This window comes from Homo sapiens, chromosome 8 (genome assembly GCF_000001405.40).
Source record: "Homo sapiens chromosome 8, GRCh38.p14 Primary Assembly".
In the NCBI taxonomy this organism is placed as follows: domain Eukaryota; kingdom Metazoa; phylum Chordata; class Mammalia; order Primates; family Hominidae; genus Homo; species Homo sapiens.
In genome coordinates, this window is record NC_000008.11 from 40,673,151 (window position 1) to 40,690,785 (window position 17,635).

The window sequence follows — 17,635 nt, forward strand, 5'->3', positions numbered from 1 at the left end:
TTTGCCCATGCGTATGTGATTCTGCTCACATGGAATGCCTTCTCACCTTCTAAAATGCCACCCACTTTTCTAGTTCCAAATCAAGTATATTCCCTTGGTGAGATCTTCTGCAACCAACATATTAAGAAGTGACCTGTCCCTCCTCTCAACTCATTGTAGCATGACCTTTTATATTACTTATTTTGTCTAGAAATGTTCCAAGTCATTTTCTGTTATAATTATCCCCCTTACAGGTTCACAGCCAGATTACGGTAATTAGAATTGTAGGCTCTGTATGCAGAACCCTGTTTAAACTGAGGTTGCCGTCTCCAAATTGATTTGCAAATGTTGTTATCTATAGCTTGCAGCCATTATGAATGACCTGCCCACAAAAGCTCATCAAACTTACACCAAATCTGAAGTATAGTATCAATAGCACCCCTTGCAGAATTATTTTTATTTTTCTGAGAAAAATGCATTTTCTCAGAAAATATAATATGCAATTTTGCTGTACTTCTATGCTGCCAACATCAAGCTGATCAAAAGTATGTAGGTGATCAAAAATGCTTAAATGGTTGCTGGTGATAAAATATTCTATTTAGTCCCACAAATTGGTTGATGGCTTCCTAAGGAATCCACAGAAGTAATCCTCACGCTATGTTTTCCAAATTCAGCAGCTTCTGTGAAACCTCACAGGAACTTCAAATGATACATGGTTTCTAGCTGTCAAGAAAACCCTGTCTGGGGCAGGGGCATGGTGCGGAGGAGACAGGTGTTGACTACATAGTGCCACACAGCACTGTCTTGCCGTGATTTCCCGGAGATTTTATTGAAGGGGCTTGGGCTTGCTTCAAGTCATTAAATTGAGTCAATTTGTTGCTTTGTTTTGGCTAAATTTATAAAAGCACAAAAGTTTAAGGTAAGATAATACTATTTGGCCTTTTTATCATCTTTTTTTTTTTTTTTTTTTTTTTTAAATTTTTGAGACAGAGTCTCACTCTGTTGCCCAGGCTGGAGTGCAATGGCAAAATCTCGGCTCACTGCAATTTCTGCCTCCTGGGTTCAAGCGATTCTCCTGCCTCAGCCTCCCAAGTAGCTGGGATTATAGGTGCGCACTGCCACACCTGGTTAATTTTTGTATTTTAATACAGACGGGGTTTCACCATATTGGCCAGGCCGGTGTTGAACTCCTGACCTCAGGCAATCTGCCCACCTCAGCCTCCCATTCAGCATCTTTTTTTTCTTTTTTAAACACTGCTACTCTACAAAAGCATTTGGTAAAGAAGGCAGTTAAAGATAAAGCAGAAGGAAAACAATCTGGTTCATGAATGTGCCTTTGGTCTGAAAAGCAGTCAATAAAAATATGAAAATAAACACTTTGAAACAAAGGAGATTATAAAAATTAAACTAAAGCAAGCCTTCTGCTCATTTCCTTTCTTGTCCATTTCTTTTGGGTGAGCCTCACTTTTTCCTTAATAATTAAAGCAAGAAGAAGAATCATTCCGATTTGTGAAAGCCGCATCTTTTCTCTGAAAGCCCAGTTTTGTGGCAGAAGTGAGAAGAGCTGCCCTTACCTCTCAGTTCCCCCATATCCAGGGTTGTCCCCAGTTGTTCTAACAAAGCAACTCTTGCCGCATTCTTTTTGTGTTTCTTGCCATCATAATGTTGCTGGGCCATCAGAGGGTTATTAAACCAGGCTGCACAGAGCCCACAGTATCTGTCTGAATCTCTTCTTTGATAGGGAGATGCGACCACCGGAGCAGTGTCCATCCGTGGGGGCTTAAGTGGGCTCAGGGGTGTTGCTGTGAAAGGAAACAACCAGAGAACCACAGCCACGTTAGTCCAACACTGAGTCCACTCTTCCTCAATACCCGAAGACCAAAAGTCTCCTGTTCACTCTAGAGCTTAAACATCCCCAAGAGTTCATTGACAGCAGGAAAATTAGCCCTGCCAGCTTTCATTTTTGAGTTGGGACACAAATAAAAATTCTTAATGTATTGAGATCAGAGTTTGCATGTCGTTATACCAAAATCTGATAATTCAAGAGACCATCCCTTAGGGGAATAATAAGATTTTTAAAAATAAATTCTCAGTTATTCCCACTGTGGCTCTCAGGAGCTATGGACAGTAGCTCTAAGTATTTGGCTGCCTGGAGTAGCTTTGAAAACACGGTTATTGAAGGCCTTTCCCACTCACTTTTAAAATGCATTCTGCTCTAACATTGGCATTTAGAGAAAAAAAATGTAGTAAAATACAGGGGACAAGCTCAATGAGCCAGGTAAAACTTGAGCAATAACTTAATTTTTCTAGCATCACTAATAATGCAATAAGCCTATTGTAATTGCCTTCAATTATTTTTGTGTGTGTATAACACTAAAAATAAATATTGGATAAAATGCAACTAAATAAATAAATTCTTAGAGGTAAGGGAGTGATCTATCAGTCAAAATAAAGCTAATACTTGAAGTAAACATTGGACAGTCATGACTTAAAAGATTCCGAATGAATGAATTGGACGTTTGTGTGCTATAAATGTAATTAACCAATAAATAAAGGATTTGGCTAAGTGGTAGAAACTGATCTTTTGGTGACATGGGTTGCATTAATTGAGGAAGTCATGCTAATTTTATTGTCAGCTGCTTCAGTTTATTGTAATAGGCTGTTTTCAACCTCTACCTGCTCACGTTGATGCTGAAATAACAATGTTTTTTTAAAAATCAAAAGAAAAATACTATAGATCAGGTGTACTTATCTAAACAGAATAGACATGTATCACTATTTTGAGATTGCATTGTTCCACCTATTAAATTAACACATTTTACTGTGAGCTTAGGATTATTTCTGGTCCAGAAAACAAACAAACAAAAAAGAGCCTAACTTGAAGGAGCTTACTAATGGAAAGTAAAAATAACTTTTCTATGTATTACAACATACAAGTTGCTTCCATCCTTACAAGGACTATGACTTGGCCTTTTATCCCATTTCTCAGATGAGAGATTGATTTCAGAAATGCCAGTGGCTTACTGAAGGTGAGATATCTAGTGATGGGAAAAACAGGACTAAAATGAAATCTGGAATTCCCAAAGCCAATGTTCCCTTCAATACTTTCCCAAGGATCCTTTTCATACTTCTTAATAAGCTAAGGGACTTTTTTTCTAGATCCATCATCTTTCTATTTCATATAGGATTTCATTAAATTTTGGAAAAAATATTCCGATCCAAATATTTTGGAGAAGAAATCAGTATGTAAATTCTCACATGGGCCATTAGTCCTAAAGCAGTATAGCAGCATCCTGTGTGTGTTCTTGGTCTCTGAGATGTAGGATGCAGCTGGCAAAACCACGAGCATTAGGGTTGTCGTTCCAAGGAAAAGCTGAGGTCCGAGACCTCAATAACAAGTTAAGGAACCAATTAACCAACACCCCAAGCTTTCAGGTAACTTTTAGGTGGACTTTTTTTTTGATTAAATAACTTATATAGAAACAAATACTTGTTAAGTGACATTTTAATTCAAGTAATGCCTGTATCATAACAGTATTTCTAAGAAGCTCTTTTTTCTTTATCCAGAGATTTCATTATATCGAGAAGTTTTAGCTAGTTTAGATTAAACTTAATGGTGTTATTTTTACAGGGACTCACAAACAGTACGCCCCTTAAAAGACTCATTGTGGGATTTGGTCATGTTATCACCATGTAGAAATAAAGCTCAAATGTGGGCCATTCCAGCAGCCACCCAGTATCATTCTGCTATGACTTAGAAATAAAAGCTACAAATATGCAGTTGACCTGGATGTGAAAAGATCTCTATCCACTTTTCTGAAGGTAATTGAATCTCACTTTCAAAGCTTCCCAAATCCTTATCAATTTCTGAGGATTTATAATTAGCTATTGTTTTTGATGGCAATGGAAAACATATCAAATGTCTACAATATGAATAAATGTTGACTCTTGAAGCATAATTTATTTTTCTTTAAAGTAAGCCCTATAAAACATTTTAGTCGATTTTATCAACTGATACCTTCTACACCATATCCTGGTAGGAGTGAGGCACAATAGAATATTCATCAAATAAGATAATCTTATCTTGCACATAAGAAAGTAATTTGATGTAGCTTCTCCCTCTGAATAATTCCACTATCTTGTGTATAGTCTGAAAGTTTAAAGGATTTTTTTTTTTTTTTTGCTTCTGTTGTAACTGTCTTCACTCATTTCAACCCAGCTTATATTCCTTTAGTGCCTATAAAAGCAGGCAAAGGCAGTAGCATAAAAACAGCCTTGAATCAAAGACAGAACTCTGGTTGGGTGGGACTCCACTATCAGTGAGCTGTGTGACCTTTGGCAAATTTCTAACGTCCCTGGTTTCCTCAAGGTAAAAATTCAGACACACCATCTCTTTTAAAATTAACATACTTTGCAGCTAACCCATAGGGTGTGGACAGAACAAATTGTGGAAGCTCTGTCCCTTCTACAGCTTTGATTCAATACCAAATATAGAAATTATGTGGGAGGAGAGCAGTTTCCAGGTTTTAATGATAAATCTGTGTGTGTACATGAACCCTAACACTTACATGCTTTGGCAGAGTGTATTATTCCAATAAAATGAATGAAGAATGGGGCAAAGATTATCTTTTGGTTTAAAAACATGCTTTAAAAAACACTTTAGTTGACATGTAGTTAATTTCTATTTTGATTTCATAGTTTGTTTTTATTCTAATTGCAAAAAATATTAACTAAATATTTACTTTACCTGCCCTTTATATAGATTCAACCAAAAGTCAATTAATCGAAACCAGTAATTTCAACATTAAACTCACCAGGCTTTAAAAGTTTCTGTGTCCAGACTGTGCCCCAGATCAATTGTATCAAAAACTCTGGGGGTGGGAAGCAAGCATCAGGATGTTTTTAAAACCTCCCTCCTCCCACAGCCTGATTCGTGTTTCCAAAGCATGGCCAATGTTGAGAACAAATGATCTAAATATTGCCACATTTTCTTTGAAAATAACTATAAAATGAAGCTTTCTTAGATCTTCACATAAAAGAAAGAAGCATAATACATCCAACAGCAATGGAGCTAGTTTTGCTGTAGGCAATAGCCAAAATGTCATATCATCCATGAGACAGAAAGAAATAATTACTTGCCTTTTTAAAACCCCAATTAATTTTCCCATTTCACCATAACATAAAAGAATCTCTAAAATAGTAGCTAACATTATAAATTAATATTGGTAAAGTTAGATGGAAATTCTGATTCCTTTCCCCATGAAGAAACTCAAGAGAACATTAAGCTATTATCCCACCAGCCTTTGCCCAAGGCCATGACCAGAATGGTGTGCTGACCTGTACCAGGCTCTCCACATAGCCGTGCACCTGTCCCACAAGATGCTACTGAATCCCATATGCTTTGTGGGGCCTTAACAACCTAAGCAAGAAGTAGTTCTCCCTCCTCTAAGCTTATAAAGCATTTACTCACTGCACAATTCATTTGGCATTTCTTAAATACCACCTTGTAACCTTAGCTGTGTGAATGCGCATCTGTGTGTATGTGTAAGGGAAATTGGAACAGAAGCTCCCATTAGACACTTTTGCATTGGCTCTCTTCTAGTACATTTTCACAATCCCTGTTTCAATTCATAAAAATGCAAAAACCCCCGAAACTCAAGTTTTTTCAGATTCATTTATTACCAAAACCTGACCTGAAGTCACATGAGATGATTTATAGTCTTTACATTTGGTATAAACATACATACATATTGCAATAGAATTATTAATATCTTTGGTCATGGACTGCTGTCCTATCTCCATATAAACACAGTGTATGGTATCTGTGCCTTATTATACATCCCAAATCCTACAATTTCTGATTTGCAAAATACAATCAGCCCCAAATATTTTCAACAAAAGATCATGGATCTATGGTTGATTCAGAGTCTATAAAATCAATGCAAGCCCTCTAAGGCTTGAGCTAATTGAAGCAAGTCAGTTTTCAACACTTGATTTCTAAGAATCACCTCATCATGGAATGAATTTCAACATCACTCTTAGTACCTTGTGCAAGATTTGTCAAGGAGTATGTTATCAGCTGCTGTCACCTGTTGGATATGTTGTCTTGAGTAATACTATAAAATAATATGTATATTCATCTTATATTTATTTATTCCATGCATAATAATCATAGTTGATTTAAGGATAAAAATATTTCTGCAGCTCCTGTGTGTGTCTCTATATTAGTCTGTTCTCACCCTACTAATAAAGACATACCTGAGACTGGGTAATTTACAAAGGAAAGAGGTTTAATTAACTCATAGTTCCACAGGGCTGGGGAGGCTTCAGGAAACTTACAATCATGGCAGAAGTGGAAGAAAACACGTCCTTCTTCACATGGCAGCAGGAAGGAGAAATGCCAAGCAAAGGACGGGAAGGCCCCTTATAAAGCCATCAGATCTTGTGAGAACTCACTCACTATCACTAGAACAACAGTGTGGGGGTAACCACCCTCATGATTCAATTACTTCCCACTGGGTCCCCCCTCCCACGACAAATGGAGATTATGAGAACTACAATTCAAGATGAGATTTGGGTGGGGACACAGCCAAACCATATCAGTCTCTATCAGAAAATTTCCTCATTCTGTAATTGTCTACATTGTCTAATTGTCTAACATATTCTACAACCTAACTCTTCATGGTGCCAGCACTTTGCATGCAACAGACACATAGTGTAAATTCCAAGCCTTTTGATGAATAAATGAATGAACGAATAAATAAAATGTTCTTTACACTATGAGAGACTAAAGAAATATGGTAACCAAGAGTTTTCTTGTTTCTTCCAGATTGTGTCATTTAGAGCTTAGGTAGCTAAGTCCTGTGCCAGTCAATATAAATATAAGCCAGTATCTGACAAGGCCCTGGTGGCTAAATTGCAGAAAGGTAACATGTCAAAGTGTACATACATATCACAGTCTCTCTCCTTCTTTTGGATTCAACTAAATATATTAAAAGCCATTATTCCCCCAAACTTATATTTTCTGGGGTGGCCTATATCTGTAAGTTGCAGAGAGTGCACATCCTTCTGAAAAATTTACTTTCAAACAGGAAACCTTTTACTCTGACTTGTTTATCCTGGCATCCAAACCCTAACTCCAGCTTTCAGTATGGCCCCAACCATCCTAGCTTTCCTGGGACTGAGAGGGTTTCCTAGGACCTGTGGTTTTTGGGGCTAAAACAAGGAAAGTCCTAGGCAAATTGAAATTGGTCACCCCAGCTTCGGAGGACAGACTGGATTTAACATCATCCTGGGAAATTAGTAAAGACTTTGGGAACAACTGTTCCAGAGATGAGAGCAGGTGTTTCAACCAAGAAGACAAGATCCACGGACAGATCTCAAAGCTCTGTCAGACCACCAGGTGGGCGTCATTAGCTGGGGAAGAGGGTGACACCGTCAGCAGTGAGATAGATTCCTACCTGCCTGTCTGCCTTCTAGGCCCTTCCAGTTTGCCAAGGAGCCACAGGGTTCTCTGCCATTCAAGCTGACAACATACACTCCTCTCTCTCTCTGTCTCTACATGTCTAATGTACACACACACACACACACACACACACACACATATACTTTCTCTCTCTCTCTACATCCCCCATCAAGCTCCCTCCCCAAGCCCCTGGCTCTTTATTTTCTTCCTTCCTTCTTTTCTCCTCTTTTATCTCCCTTTTCTCTCATGCTTAATGCTTTCTAGGCTTTAGGATAGTGAAGTTTAATTCATTCTCACAAGGGATGTGGGGGCTTTTGATATAGAGAAATAAAGCCAGAATTTATTCATTTTAAAGTATGTGGTTTCTCTCACCTAAGCCATTCTTATCCACAACAATAATTCTTCCCAGTTGTGTGATATTGTGCAGTTTACTATGTCTGTTCCTTGTGTTTTCTTAAGTTACTCAGAGATCTTGTCTGGTCAATAAGGCAGCTTGAAGCCCAGGGAGATGAACCCACTAGTGTAGAGTCCCTTGATTAATAAGCAGCAGAGGAAGTGGTAAAGACCAGATCTCTGGACTCTAAGACCAGCCCCATATTTCAATGTCAACTCGTTTCCAATAATGCCTACAGAGCAATAGGCCAAATAAACAAACAGATTAATTCTAGAATCAAAACACATTTCCTAGGCTTCAACATCTGCTCCCAGTGGGGATTATTTGGAAATGCGCATTTTTTCTAAAAAACACTTTTTCTGATTTCCAGTCCCTATGATAAACTGCCTTTATTTTTTTCCTACCCTAAATCAAATTAATGATAGCAGTATTTCTTCAGCAAATATCACTGTTTTTTTGCAAATGCTACCAACAGTAAAGTTAGATTAGATCATTCAGTGAGTGGCTTAAGAGGCAGCTGTCAGTGTCATTCTGTAGTGCTGTCACCACACAGTCCAGCCTCCTCTTCAGGGAAGCACCTCACCTCCGTGCCCACCACAAAGTCAGGCCTCATACTTAGATTTATTTTGCATCTCTGGCAGAGGCATGGGCCTTTTGTGTAGATAGTAGATGCTCAATGAACATGTGATAAATACATGAAGAAAAGTACTGGTGACTTTTAATATCAACTTGGGGGAATTTTCATGTTTTGATAAATATTATAGCTAAACATTAAATATTTGATAGTTTCATTAAACTTATTTTACAGGGTTAAAGAAACAAGTTAGATACTCTTAATAGATGATAGATTAAATAAATTTTAGTCATCTATACTCTGAAAGACATGCAGAAATAAAAAAAAAAGATATGTTTTAGAAAAGTATTTAGAGACCTGGGGACATGTTCAGAACAGGATGTAAACTAAAAGATGTGGTTTATATGTATAATATCAACAAAATCACTTATACACATAGCTGCAAAACTTTATATAACTATAACTACTACTATTACTATATATATGTATAAAACAATATAGACTAGAAGGCTATAGATAAAAATCTTAGTAATAGGTGTTTCTGAGTTGTGGAATATGGGTGATCTGCTTTGTACTCATGGATATATACTCCCCCATGTAGATGGAAGACATTTTTATTTTACCATTTATATATAGGCCACATTTAATGTTACCTTGTTTTACTACAAAGTCTAAAAAACACTGCTTAGGGACCTTGTGGTGCCACAACCCAGTCTTAAATCTCAGAAGATTTTATTTGCAATGCTTTATTATTAATTTATTGTAGACTTGAGGTAAAATGAGTTGGAGGAAGGCTGGCCCAGTCAGAATATAATGTGAAAGTACCAGCTTCCCTGATTTCTCTAAAAGATCCTGAGAAAAGCAGTTGTCCCACTGTTATCACAGATCCAAATATGGCTCTAATTGTTTAGATAAAAAGAAGTACCTGTCTTCTCACATGATATGTCTGGATGCGAATTCTGCTACCCAGCCCCATGAGATAGAAAAATCCACATGCTATTTATTTTATACCACAAAGGAAATTAAAAAGCACTATAATATATCCGATGTTTCAAAATACATGCCATTTCACATTTCCTGAGAATGAACAAAGATGAAGATGACTTAAGGGGACTGTCCAATTCAATTATGCATCAACCTTCTAAGTATAATCAGCCTATTAACAGAAGTTGCTTCTTTACCCACACTGCATTCATATATCGTCAGTCTTCGTTAAGAGAGTATTCATAGACCATTGAGTTTCATTAATATAGAATAATTCCCTCTAGTTTCAGTCACTTGAATAAGTTCTAAATATTGTAAGTATGCCTGGTTTCTGCAGAATTTTAATCTTTGAAAATAAGCCATTAAATAGAACTTTAGAGGGGATAAAAGTCCTTTTATGACTTTCTTGTGTTGCTTGGCAAAAGAATCCAAAGGCTGTAATATTGCACATTCTTTGCCTTGAAATCAAGAGGCCAGAATCTAAGGTCCATGAGGCAAGGATTTTTATCCTTTGTTTACTGATAGATTCCAGGTACCTAGAACTGGGCTTGGCACATAATAGGTGTTAAATAAACCCTTCCTGAATGAAGGGAGCAGCTTATTCTCCATAGTGTAACTTACATAAGAGAAGAAATCACTTCTCTTACATAAACTGCTGTACTTGAGGACATCCTGCAGGTATAACGATGAATGCCGGAATCAATGATAGCATCCACTCTGTCCAGACGGATCTGAAAATCAGTTATTTCCCTGTAGTATACTCATGGTATTAAATCTTCAAACACTACTCAGTCAAGGTGCTACACTCCCTGAGTTCATTATTAAAATCTCCGGTTATGGCCACAGTTCTCAAACTCTGTGCAGAGCTGTCCTGTGATGACACAATGAACTAAGTCATAGGAAATCTGTAAGGTATTTTAACATTTTGAGGAAAGCCTCATAACATCTGTTGGACACCACAGGGACCATTAGCTTAAGGTAGCTCACAGTTTCAACTTAGATGCTACATTCCTTTTGATTATTTTGATTTCTGTGAAACTGGGTTTTTGGATACTGCTGTGTATGACCAGTCAATCAAATCATTCACTGAGAAACAAGAAACACAGGTGGCAAGGTCCAATTTGGTTTTAAAGTTATGCAGTACTCACCAGGCAAACACATTCATTAGTGTAGTTATTTAAGAAGGAAACAAAAATGTTATGAATTTTTTTTCAATTTATGGGTATAATTATTTCAGACCAGGCACAGTGGCTCACGCTTGTAATTCCAGAACTTCAAGAGGCTGAAATGGGTGGATCACTAAAGCCCAGGAGTTTGGAACCATCCTGGGCAACATGGCAAAACCCAGTCTCTACAAAAAATACAAAAATTAGATGGGCATGGTGGCACGCGCCTGTAGTCCCAGCCACACAGGGAGGGGCTTAGATGGGAGGATTGCTTGATCCCATAAGGTCAAGGCTACAGTGAACCATATTTGTGCCACTGCATTCTAGCCTGGGACCAGAGGAGATCCCGTCTTAGAAAAAAAAAAAAATCAGATGGCTACTAAATTATTGGGACATAAGTACTGAAGTTGTTTTGACCTAGCTATTTAATAAACTTACGTATTAGGCATTTCTTTCGTCCTAAGGGAATAGCAAAAGAAAAAGAAAAGTACAGAGACATTAAGACTGTGGTAAAATTTCAGAAACTCTAAGAGTTATGACTTCACGCATTGCTTAGCAAGAATCAATGATCTGCTAACTGGGCACTGCTAGAAACCATGACGTCCTTTCATCGTAAACCTCAAACCCCACATTTAACATGGAGTTCCAAATGGACAACGTGGGCTTCCCTGACAGGAACTGGTTGAGCCACTGGCACTCCCAATGCCCACTGCAGGTGCCGCTCTTGGAGTACTGAGCTGGAGGCACCCCCTGGATCACAGGCAGTATCCTATAGGAGCTACAGGACTGGTGCACTGACACCTGGGAACTGAAACCAGCTTTGGTTCTTTTAATTCTACCAGTCTTCCCCAGACACCTAATCCATACCCCGTGCTCAGGGTTGGGGAATGATTTACTTATCCGGCAGCATTAGCTATTCAACTAGAGAGCCAGCTTCCTGGATCATTTCTTATATCCTTATGAATATTTATAGAGAATTCAAAGATGAGGAAAGTGATCAGTGCCAGAGGCGCAGCAGAGAGAAAGTGCAGGCTAAGTTTAGAGGAAGAGAGGCAAAGAGGGTGGCCTTTTGTCCTGGGCTAGAATAGAGCTGTGACTTTAGAATGAATTTACGGAAGTTGGTGCTGTTCCATTCTGTGAGTGGAATGCCTGTGTCTATAACCGCTCTTCAGCTACCACCCCCACCCCTGAAAAAAGGGACCTCATGGTTTCTCTATTGAACCTCCATTTTGAGTTGCCTTAAGCATATATCCCTAAAAATAACATTGGTCTTAATAACCTATGGTTTGCAAGCTATGAAAATTGGCTGCGTTTTGTATTTAAATGATGAATATTAGTTATGCATATATTTTGCATGTATCACTTTGAATTTAATCTAGAAATAAAGCACTTTATCTCAACTGCCATTTGGGAACTGCTGTTCTGAGTCAGTCTATGAAATCAAAAGCAACTCTAGAATTCTTGAGATCAGATGTAAGGTAGATGGGGCTACTCTGCTCCATCATGTCAAGTCCCTCCCATCACCAAGATTGAAAGAATTCAGAGTATTAAATGTAAAAGCAAGAAGGTACCCTAGTCCCTGAGGGCTTGAAGACCACACCCCTACACCACTGCTTCTCCAATTGAGCAATGAGGCTGATGAACAAAGGAGCACTGCAAAGGAGGAAGTCAGTTTTAGGGTACATAAGACTTGCAGACAAAAGTTGGAAAATCCTTAAGCAAATTCAGTCCCTAGGGGAGCAGAAGCCTACTTAGAGCCTGAATTATTCTGCTGTGTCACCCACAATTATTAATTTAACTATGGCTTGGTCAAAAATTGCATACTTCATTATTGCCATGCAGACACAGATGGAAGGGAGCACATGAGACAAAATATGAATGATTTATTTTGAGGGATTTTTTTTAGGACAAGTGTATCATTAATAGCCAGTGAGGATGTAGCTGCTTTAAAACCTGCTGCTCCAAGTGTGCACCACCCACCAAGACCATTCAAAGCACTAGGCAGCTGATTAAAGAAGCCCATCTCAGGCCCCAACCTCGACCACAGGATAAGAATCTGCATTTTGCAAGAGGCTTGAGTGACTCATATGCAAATTAAATTAGGAAAGCACTGGATTAGGTTCCTGTCAGAATCACCTTGGGGATGTTTAGACACTCAAAGACTCCAGACCCACTTAGGCCACTGAGCTCAGAATGGCTTGGGGTGGGGCCCAGCCACGATAGATGTTAAAGCTTTGCAGGTACCTCCAATGGGCAGACAGGACTGGGAACCCTCAGACTGGAGCAACAGCGTAGGGATGGGCTTCACTTGCACCTCAGCCATACCAAATATTCATATAGTCATGTTTCATTCATTCAACTATGTTCTGGCACTGTGCCCTGCCTTAGGTATAGAGAGCCATCCATGACCTCAAGGAGCTTAAAGTCTGAAATAGACATATTTTGAACTAATTTTACAGGACTATTTTATTAAGATGTATTAATTCTACAGAAGTCTATGTACTTAAAAAAAAAATCACAGGCGAGGCACGATGGCTCACACCTGTAATCCCAGCACTTTGGGAGGCTGAGGTGGGAAGATTGCTTGAAACCAGGAGTTCAAGACCAGCCTGGACAACATAGTGAGACTGCACCCCCAGCTAATTGGGAGGCTGAGGTAGGAGGAAATCTTGAGCCCAGGAATTCAAAGCTTGAGTAAGCTATGATCACTCCACTGTACTCCAACCTGGGTAACAGAGTGAGACCCCTGTCTCAACGAAAAAAAATTGAAAATTAGCCTGGCATAGTGATGCACGTCTGTAGTCCCTGCTACTCGGGAGTCTGAGGTGAGAGATTCCTTTGACCCCAGGAAGCTGCAGTGAGCCGTGGTTGTGCCACTGCATTCCAGCTTGGGCAACAGAGTGAGTCCCTGTCTCTACAAATTAAAAAAAAGTAATAACAATTTTTAAAAATCATAAGAGCAACAGGTACAAAGAAAATAATATCATGAAATATCATTTTGAAATAAAACCAAAACCAGTTTCAAATCACAACTCTGGTGGGTTATTTTACCTACAGTGAGAATGTTTCCTAAAATAAAATGGGGCCAGTGGTTCAATTTCACAACCTTGTTGTGAGGATTAAAAGTGTCTGTTTGACAAAAGTTACTTTGCAGGCATCTTGACCACAGAGAAAACTAAGACTAGAACCCAGAGCCCCTAACTGCTGCCCTGTGTTCTTTCCTCAATCCCACATTGCTGGGCTGTGAAGAACATGAGGCGGGAAAAGTGGTTGGTAAGAGTGAGTCAGAAAAGTTAGTGCAATGGTGGTGGCATGTTCCTGTAGCTGGTCGTAAGTTTGCTGACACTCCAGCAGTCAGAGATTCCTTCAAAGCTATCTACGATGTTTTACAGAATAATAGAAAGTATATATAAGAGGCAGAGAGATGATATGAGGAAGAAAAGTATATGATGCAGGATAAAGGATGTGGAATTACTTAGCCAGAAGACGGGGCACTGAAGTACAACTTAATGACACTTGAGACACATAGAAGGTGACAGAATTTGGGCTGATGGCCAGCTGTTTCCCAAAGCTGCTGAAAAATAGCTTTGAAACACAGAAGAGAGGGAGCTTAAGGGAGCTGATCCCTGATGTGAAGCCATGCTGACTGTCCCGGGGAGGGCGGTTCTGGGAGGTTGGTAGAATTAAGGATTATTAATACCTGATGGGGGAGGGAGAGATATTGGGTAAAGCATACCAGCCAATGAGAAAGAGTTAAATAGAATCTTATTGGAAACAGAAAACATGTTGGTGATTCAAGATTCATGAACTTCTAGGTAGAAGTCATTCTATACCCTACACTCTGGATGAAACATTTTTTTTAAAGCACAATTTTTGAATATTAAATCATCAGGTTTCATCAATTGTATGGACCTCTTTCTCTCTGACTTACTTTGACTACAAATAAAACCTCCCTTTGTATCAAAAAGGATGGACTAAATGTTCATTTACCACATATACTACAGTGAATCCTTCCCTCACCTTCTCATCAGCATTCTTGATATATTAGTTTTGCTAACTGAAAATGAAAGGCCAGGCATTAAGATTTCATCTGCTCTGCAGAGTGAAATGCAAAATGAAGATGCTAATGATTAGCAGTTTCCACTAATCAGGAAATAATCACAGCAAGAATTCACGGGTAGGCCTTCAACCCATCTCCTGCTTCTCAGTTAAGTGATCTCAACAAGTGGCAAGAGAGCAGCAATCCTTCCTTCAGATGACTGAGGACCCTTAGCTTCCAAAGACTTACTGATTTCTAAGTCTTGAGGATTGCACTCAGAATGCCCAGATCATCTCTTCAGCCAGTACCACGACCGAGACAAACTGCTGCCTCCAAAAAGAGTTGCAAAAACTTCATTGCTTAGTCCTTCAATGCAACTGAGCAACAACACCACCACCACAACAAATTTAATAAAATAAAATAGGCCGGGGGGCGGTGGCTCATGCCTGTAATCCCAGCACTTTGAGAGGCCCAGACAGGTGGATCACAAGGTCAGGAGTTCAAGACCAGCCTGACCAACATGGTGAAATCCCATCTCTACTAAAAATACAAAAATTAGCTGAGTGTATTGGCATGCACCTGTAATCCCAGCTGCTCGGGAGGCTGAGGCAGGAGAATTGCTTGAACCCAGGAAGCAGAGGTTGCAGAGAACTGAGATGGCACCACTGCACTCCAGCCTGGGTGACAGGGCAAGACTCCATCTCAAAAGTAAAAATAAAAATAAAAACAAAATAAAATAAAATAAACTTTGTTGGGCCCCTTTAATCTCCCATTTGCAATTCATGGTACCTCAAGATGGCCAAAATACACTTACAAACCTTAGGTGGATTTATGATTAGAGCCATAAACTACTGAGTGCTCAACAAACAATAGAAGAAAATCACTTAGCAGGAAATCCTACACAAGAGAAACAACTTCTCTGAAGGCTGGTAAAGTGAGGAAAATATATTAAATTTCATATTTCTGTTTTCAGTAAGTGAACATGCTAGGTGTCTGTGTCATGTGACAATTTACATAGCAGAGTAACCTATCGAGAAATTAGAAATTATTTTCTTATAGGCTCACTTCATTAAAATGAGAGGAAATTTTGCATTCCATTCCAAAAACGTAGCTAGGCTCTGAAGTCTGGTTTTCCCCACCTCTGGGAGAGGATGAGCAAATGGATTTGTGTTGAGTTGTCTGAGAGGCAAAGGGATCTGAATGTCAAAGAGGAGTATGCCTGGTGTCAAGAAAGTAATTGGCTTCTTGGGGACTAGGAAAAAAGGGAGTTGTAACTGTTGATAGAGACCGGAGCAGCTTAAAAACAGTGTGTCCAAGGTGGTGGGACCTCCCTAGGAATGCCTCCCATGGGTCCTTGGTCTTCTTTTCCATGGTCTAGGTTGAAACGGAGGAGACTTGGCCCATGAAGAAAACAGATGATTAAAATACACTTCTGAGGGAGCCCCAGGGCTGGACCTCCAGCTTGTGGACGCTGAGAACACAACAGCATCCTGGGTGAGATCATCAAGTAGCCAGAGTCCACAGGTGGAGACTTCTCTGAGCCCTGTGAGTGGCACTAAAGAGGGAGAGGGAGGATACTCCAGTGAATGGCTGGGGCCGGTCTTCTCACTAACCTTCAGGGTCAGAGAACAGAAGTAATTTACATGAATTTAGAAAATATTTTAAAATGTTATGTTAATCGCACTCAAATGCCATGCAGTAATTTGCACCTATTGCATCTGATTCTTAAAGAAACCAATCTGAGCATTAAGTGAGAATTTTGAGGCTGATATTTAAAATGTATAGATATTTCAAAGAATGGGAATATAGTTTGGGACATTTACTACCCATTATTTCAGGTGTGATGCTTACTTTATGAGTGTCTTCTCAATTTCATAGACTAGACACTTTTAGGGTTCTTATCTTTAATAGATGATTCAGGAGTTGTTGCCAGAAAATCTTCTGCTTGTAGTTTTTTTTTGAATAGTAATGTGTTTTGCGTATGGATTTCAAGTCCTGACCATGTCTCCTGTTGACAGTTTCAGAGTATGCACAGGAAATTGATTATTTTATTGTTCTACTATTTTCCTTTATAAAAGTATGTCAAAGAATATTTTCTGAAACAAAGGTATAACAACATCATAAAAGATGCTGAGATCATCAACTGTCTTATACCACTATGTGATCACTTAAAAGAGAAAATCGAGTTTACGGTATTGAAAAGGATTGTGAAAATCACCTAGGCAGTAGGCTCCTTGTTAAAATCTTTAGTTTTATCCAATCACTGATCTCTTGTTTCATTAGTCATCAACTATAAAACAAAAAACACAGCAGTCTTAATCTAATCATTGCCCCAAGCTTGCTATGACCCAGCGCAGAAAAATTATGGCCAAAAGAATTCAGCTTACCTCACATTGCTAATGGATTTAAATCCTACTCGCTGTAGGATAGGCATGGACTAACAGGCATGGTTTCTCCCACCAGTGACACCAGGGAAGCATTACTGCAAGAGAAGTGTCTTTGCTGTCAGCCACTTGTATCACCTTGGGTAAATGGTTTCACCCCTCTGGGCTTCAGTTTTCTCACAAGGTATCTGAGATGGCTAAAATAACGATCACTAAGCCCCTTCCAGCTCTGCAAATCTGTGAATCTATTACTTACATTTATGAGCTTAGAAAAGCCAAAACATCAACTGGAACAAATGCACTGATCTAGAGATGATGCCTCAGAACATGCCAGCTTTCCTAATTTAAAAGAAGATGCACCACTATTAAGATCTGCTTGTTTGACAAACTATTGTTTGCATCTATTAAAGCAAGCATCTAGACAGATTATGCCACACAAACCAAATAACCTGATTCAGATGAAATAACTGCTATGGTGTATGAAATCTTATATGCAAATATGAGGTGCTGATTGAACCTAGAGTGCATGTATTATTCAAAATTTGAATTTATGTAACTTTCAAGCAGATATAGACTACCCTGATCTTTACTTATTCAACAGAGAACTTAAATAAGCAATTCTGTGTCTGGCATGGAAATTTATGTAAAAG

At 38.9% G+C, this 17,635-nt stretch overlaps 1 protein-coding gene across 7 annotated transcripts in view; it reads right to left on the minus strand.

Moving 5' to 3' along the window:
• The window catches only part of ZMAT4 (zinc finger matrin-type 4), a 367,237-nt gene that overhangs the window by 142,561 nt on the left and 207,041 nt on the right, over positions 1–17,635 (minus strand). For 6 of the 7 annotated variants that reach the window (NM_024645.3, XM_017013836.3, XM_047422236.1 and 3 more), the window contains one exon: positions 1,554–1,781. The exons of the other annotated variant lie outside the window; for it this stretch is intronic. In NM_024645.3, coding sequence (NP_078921.1) covers positions 1,554–1,781 — 228 coding nt within the window. The remainder of the gene's footprint in view (positions 1–1,553; positions 1,782–17,635) is intronic. 7 annotated transcript variants of the gene reach the window in all.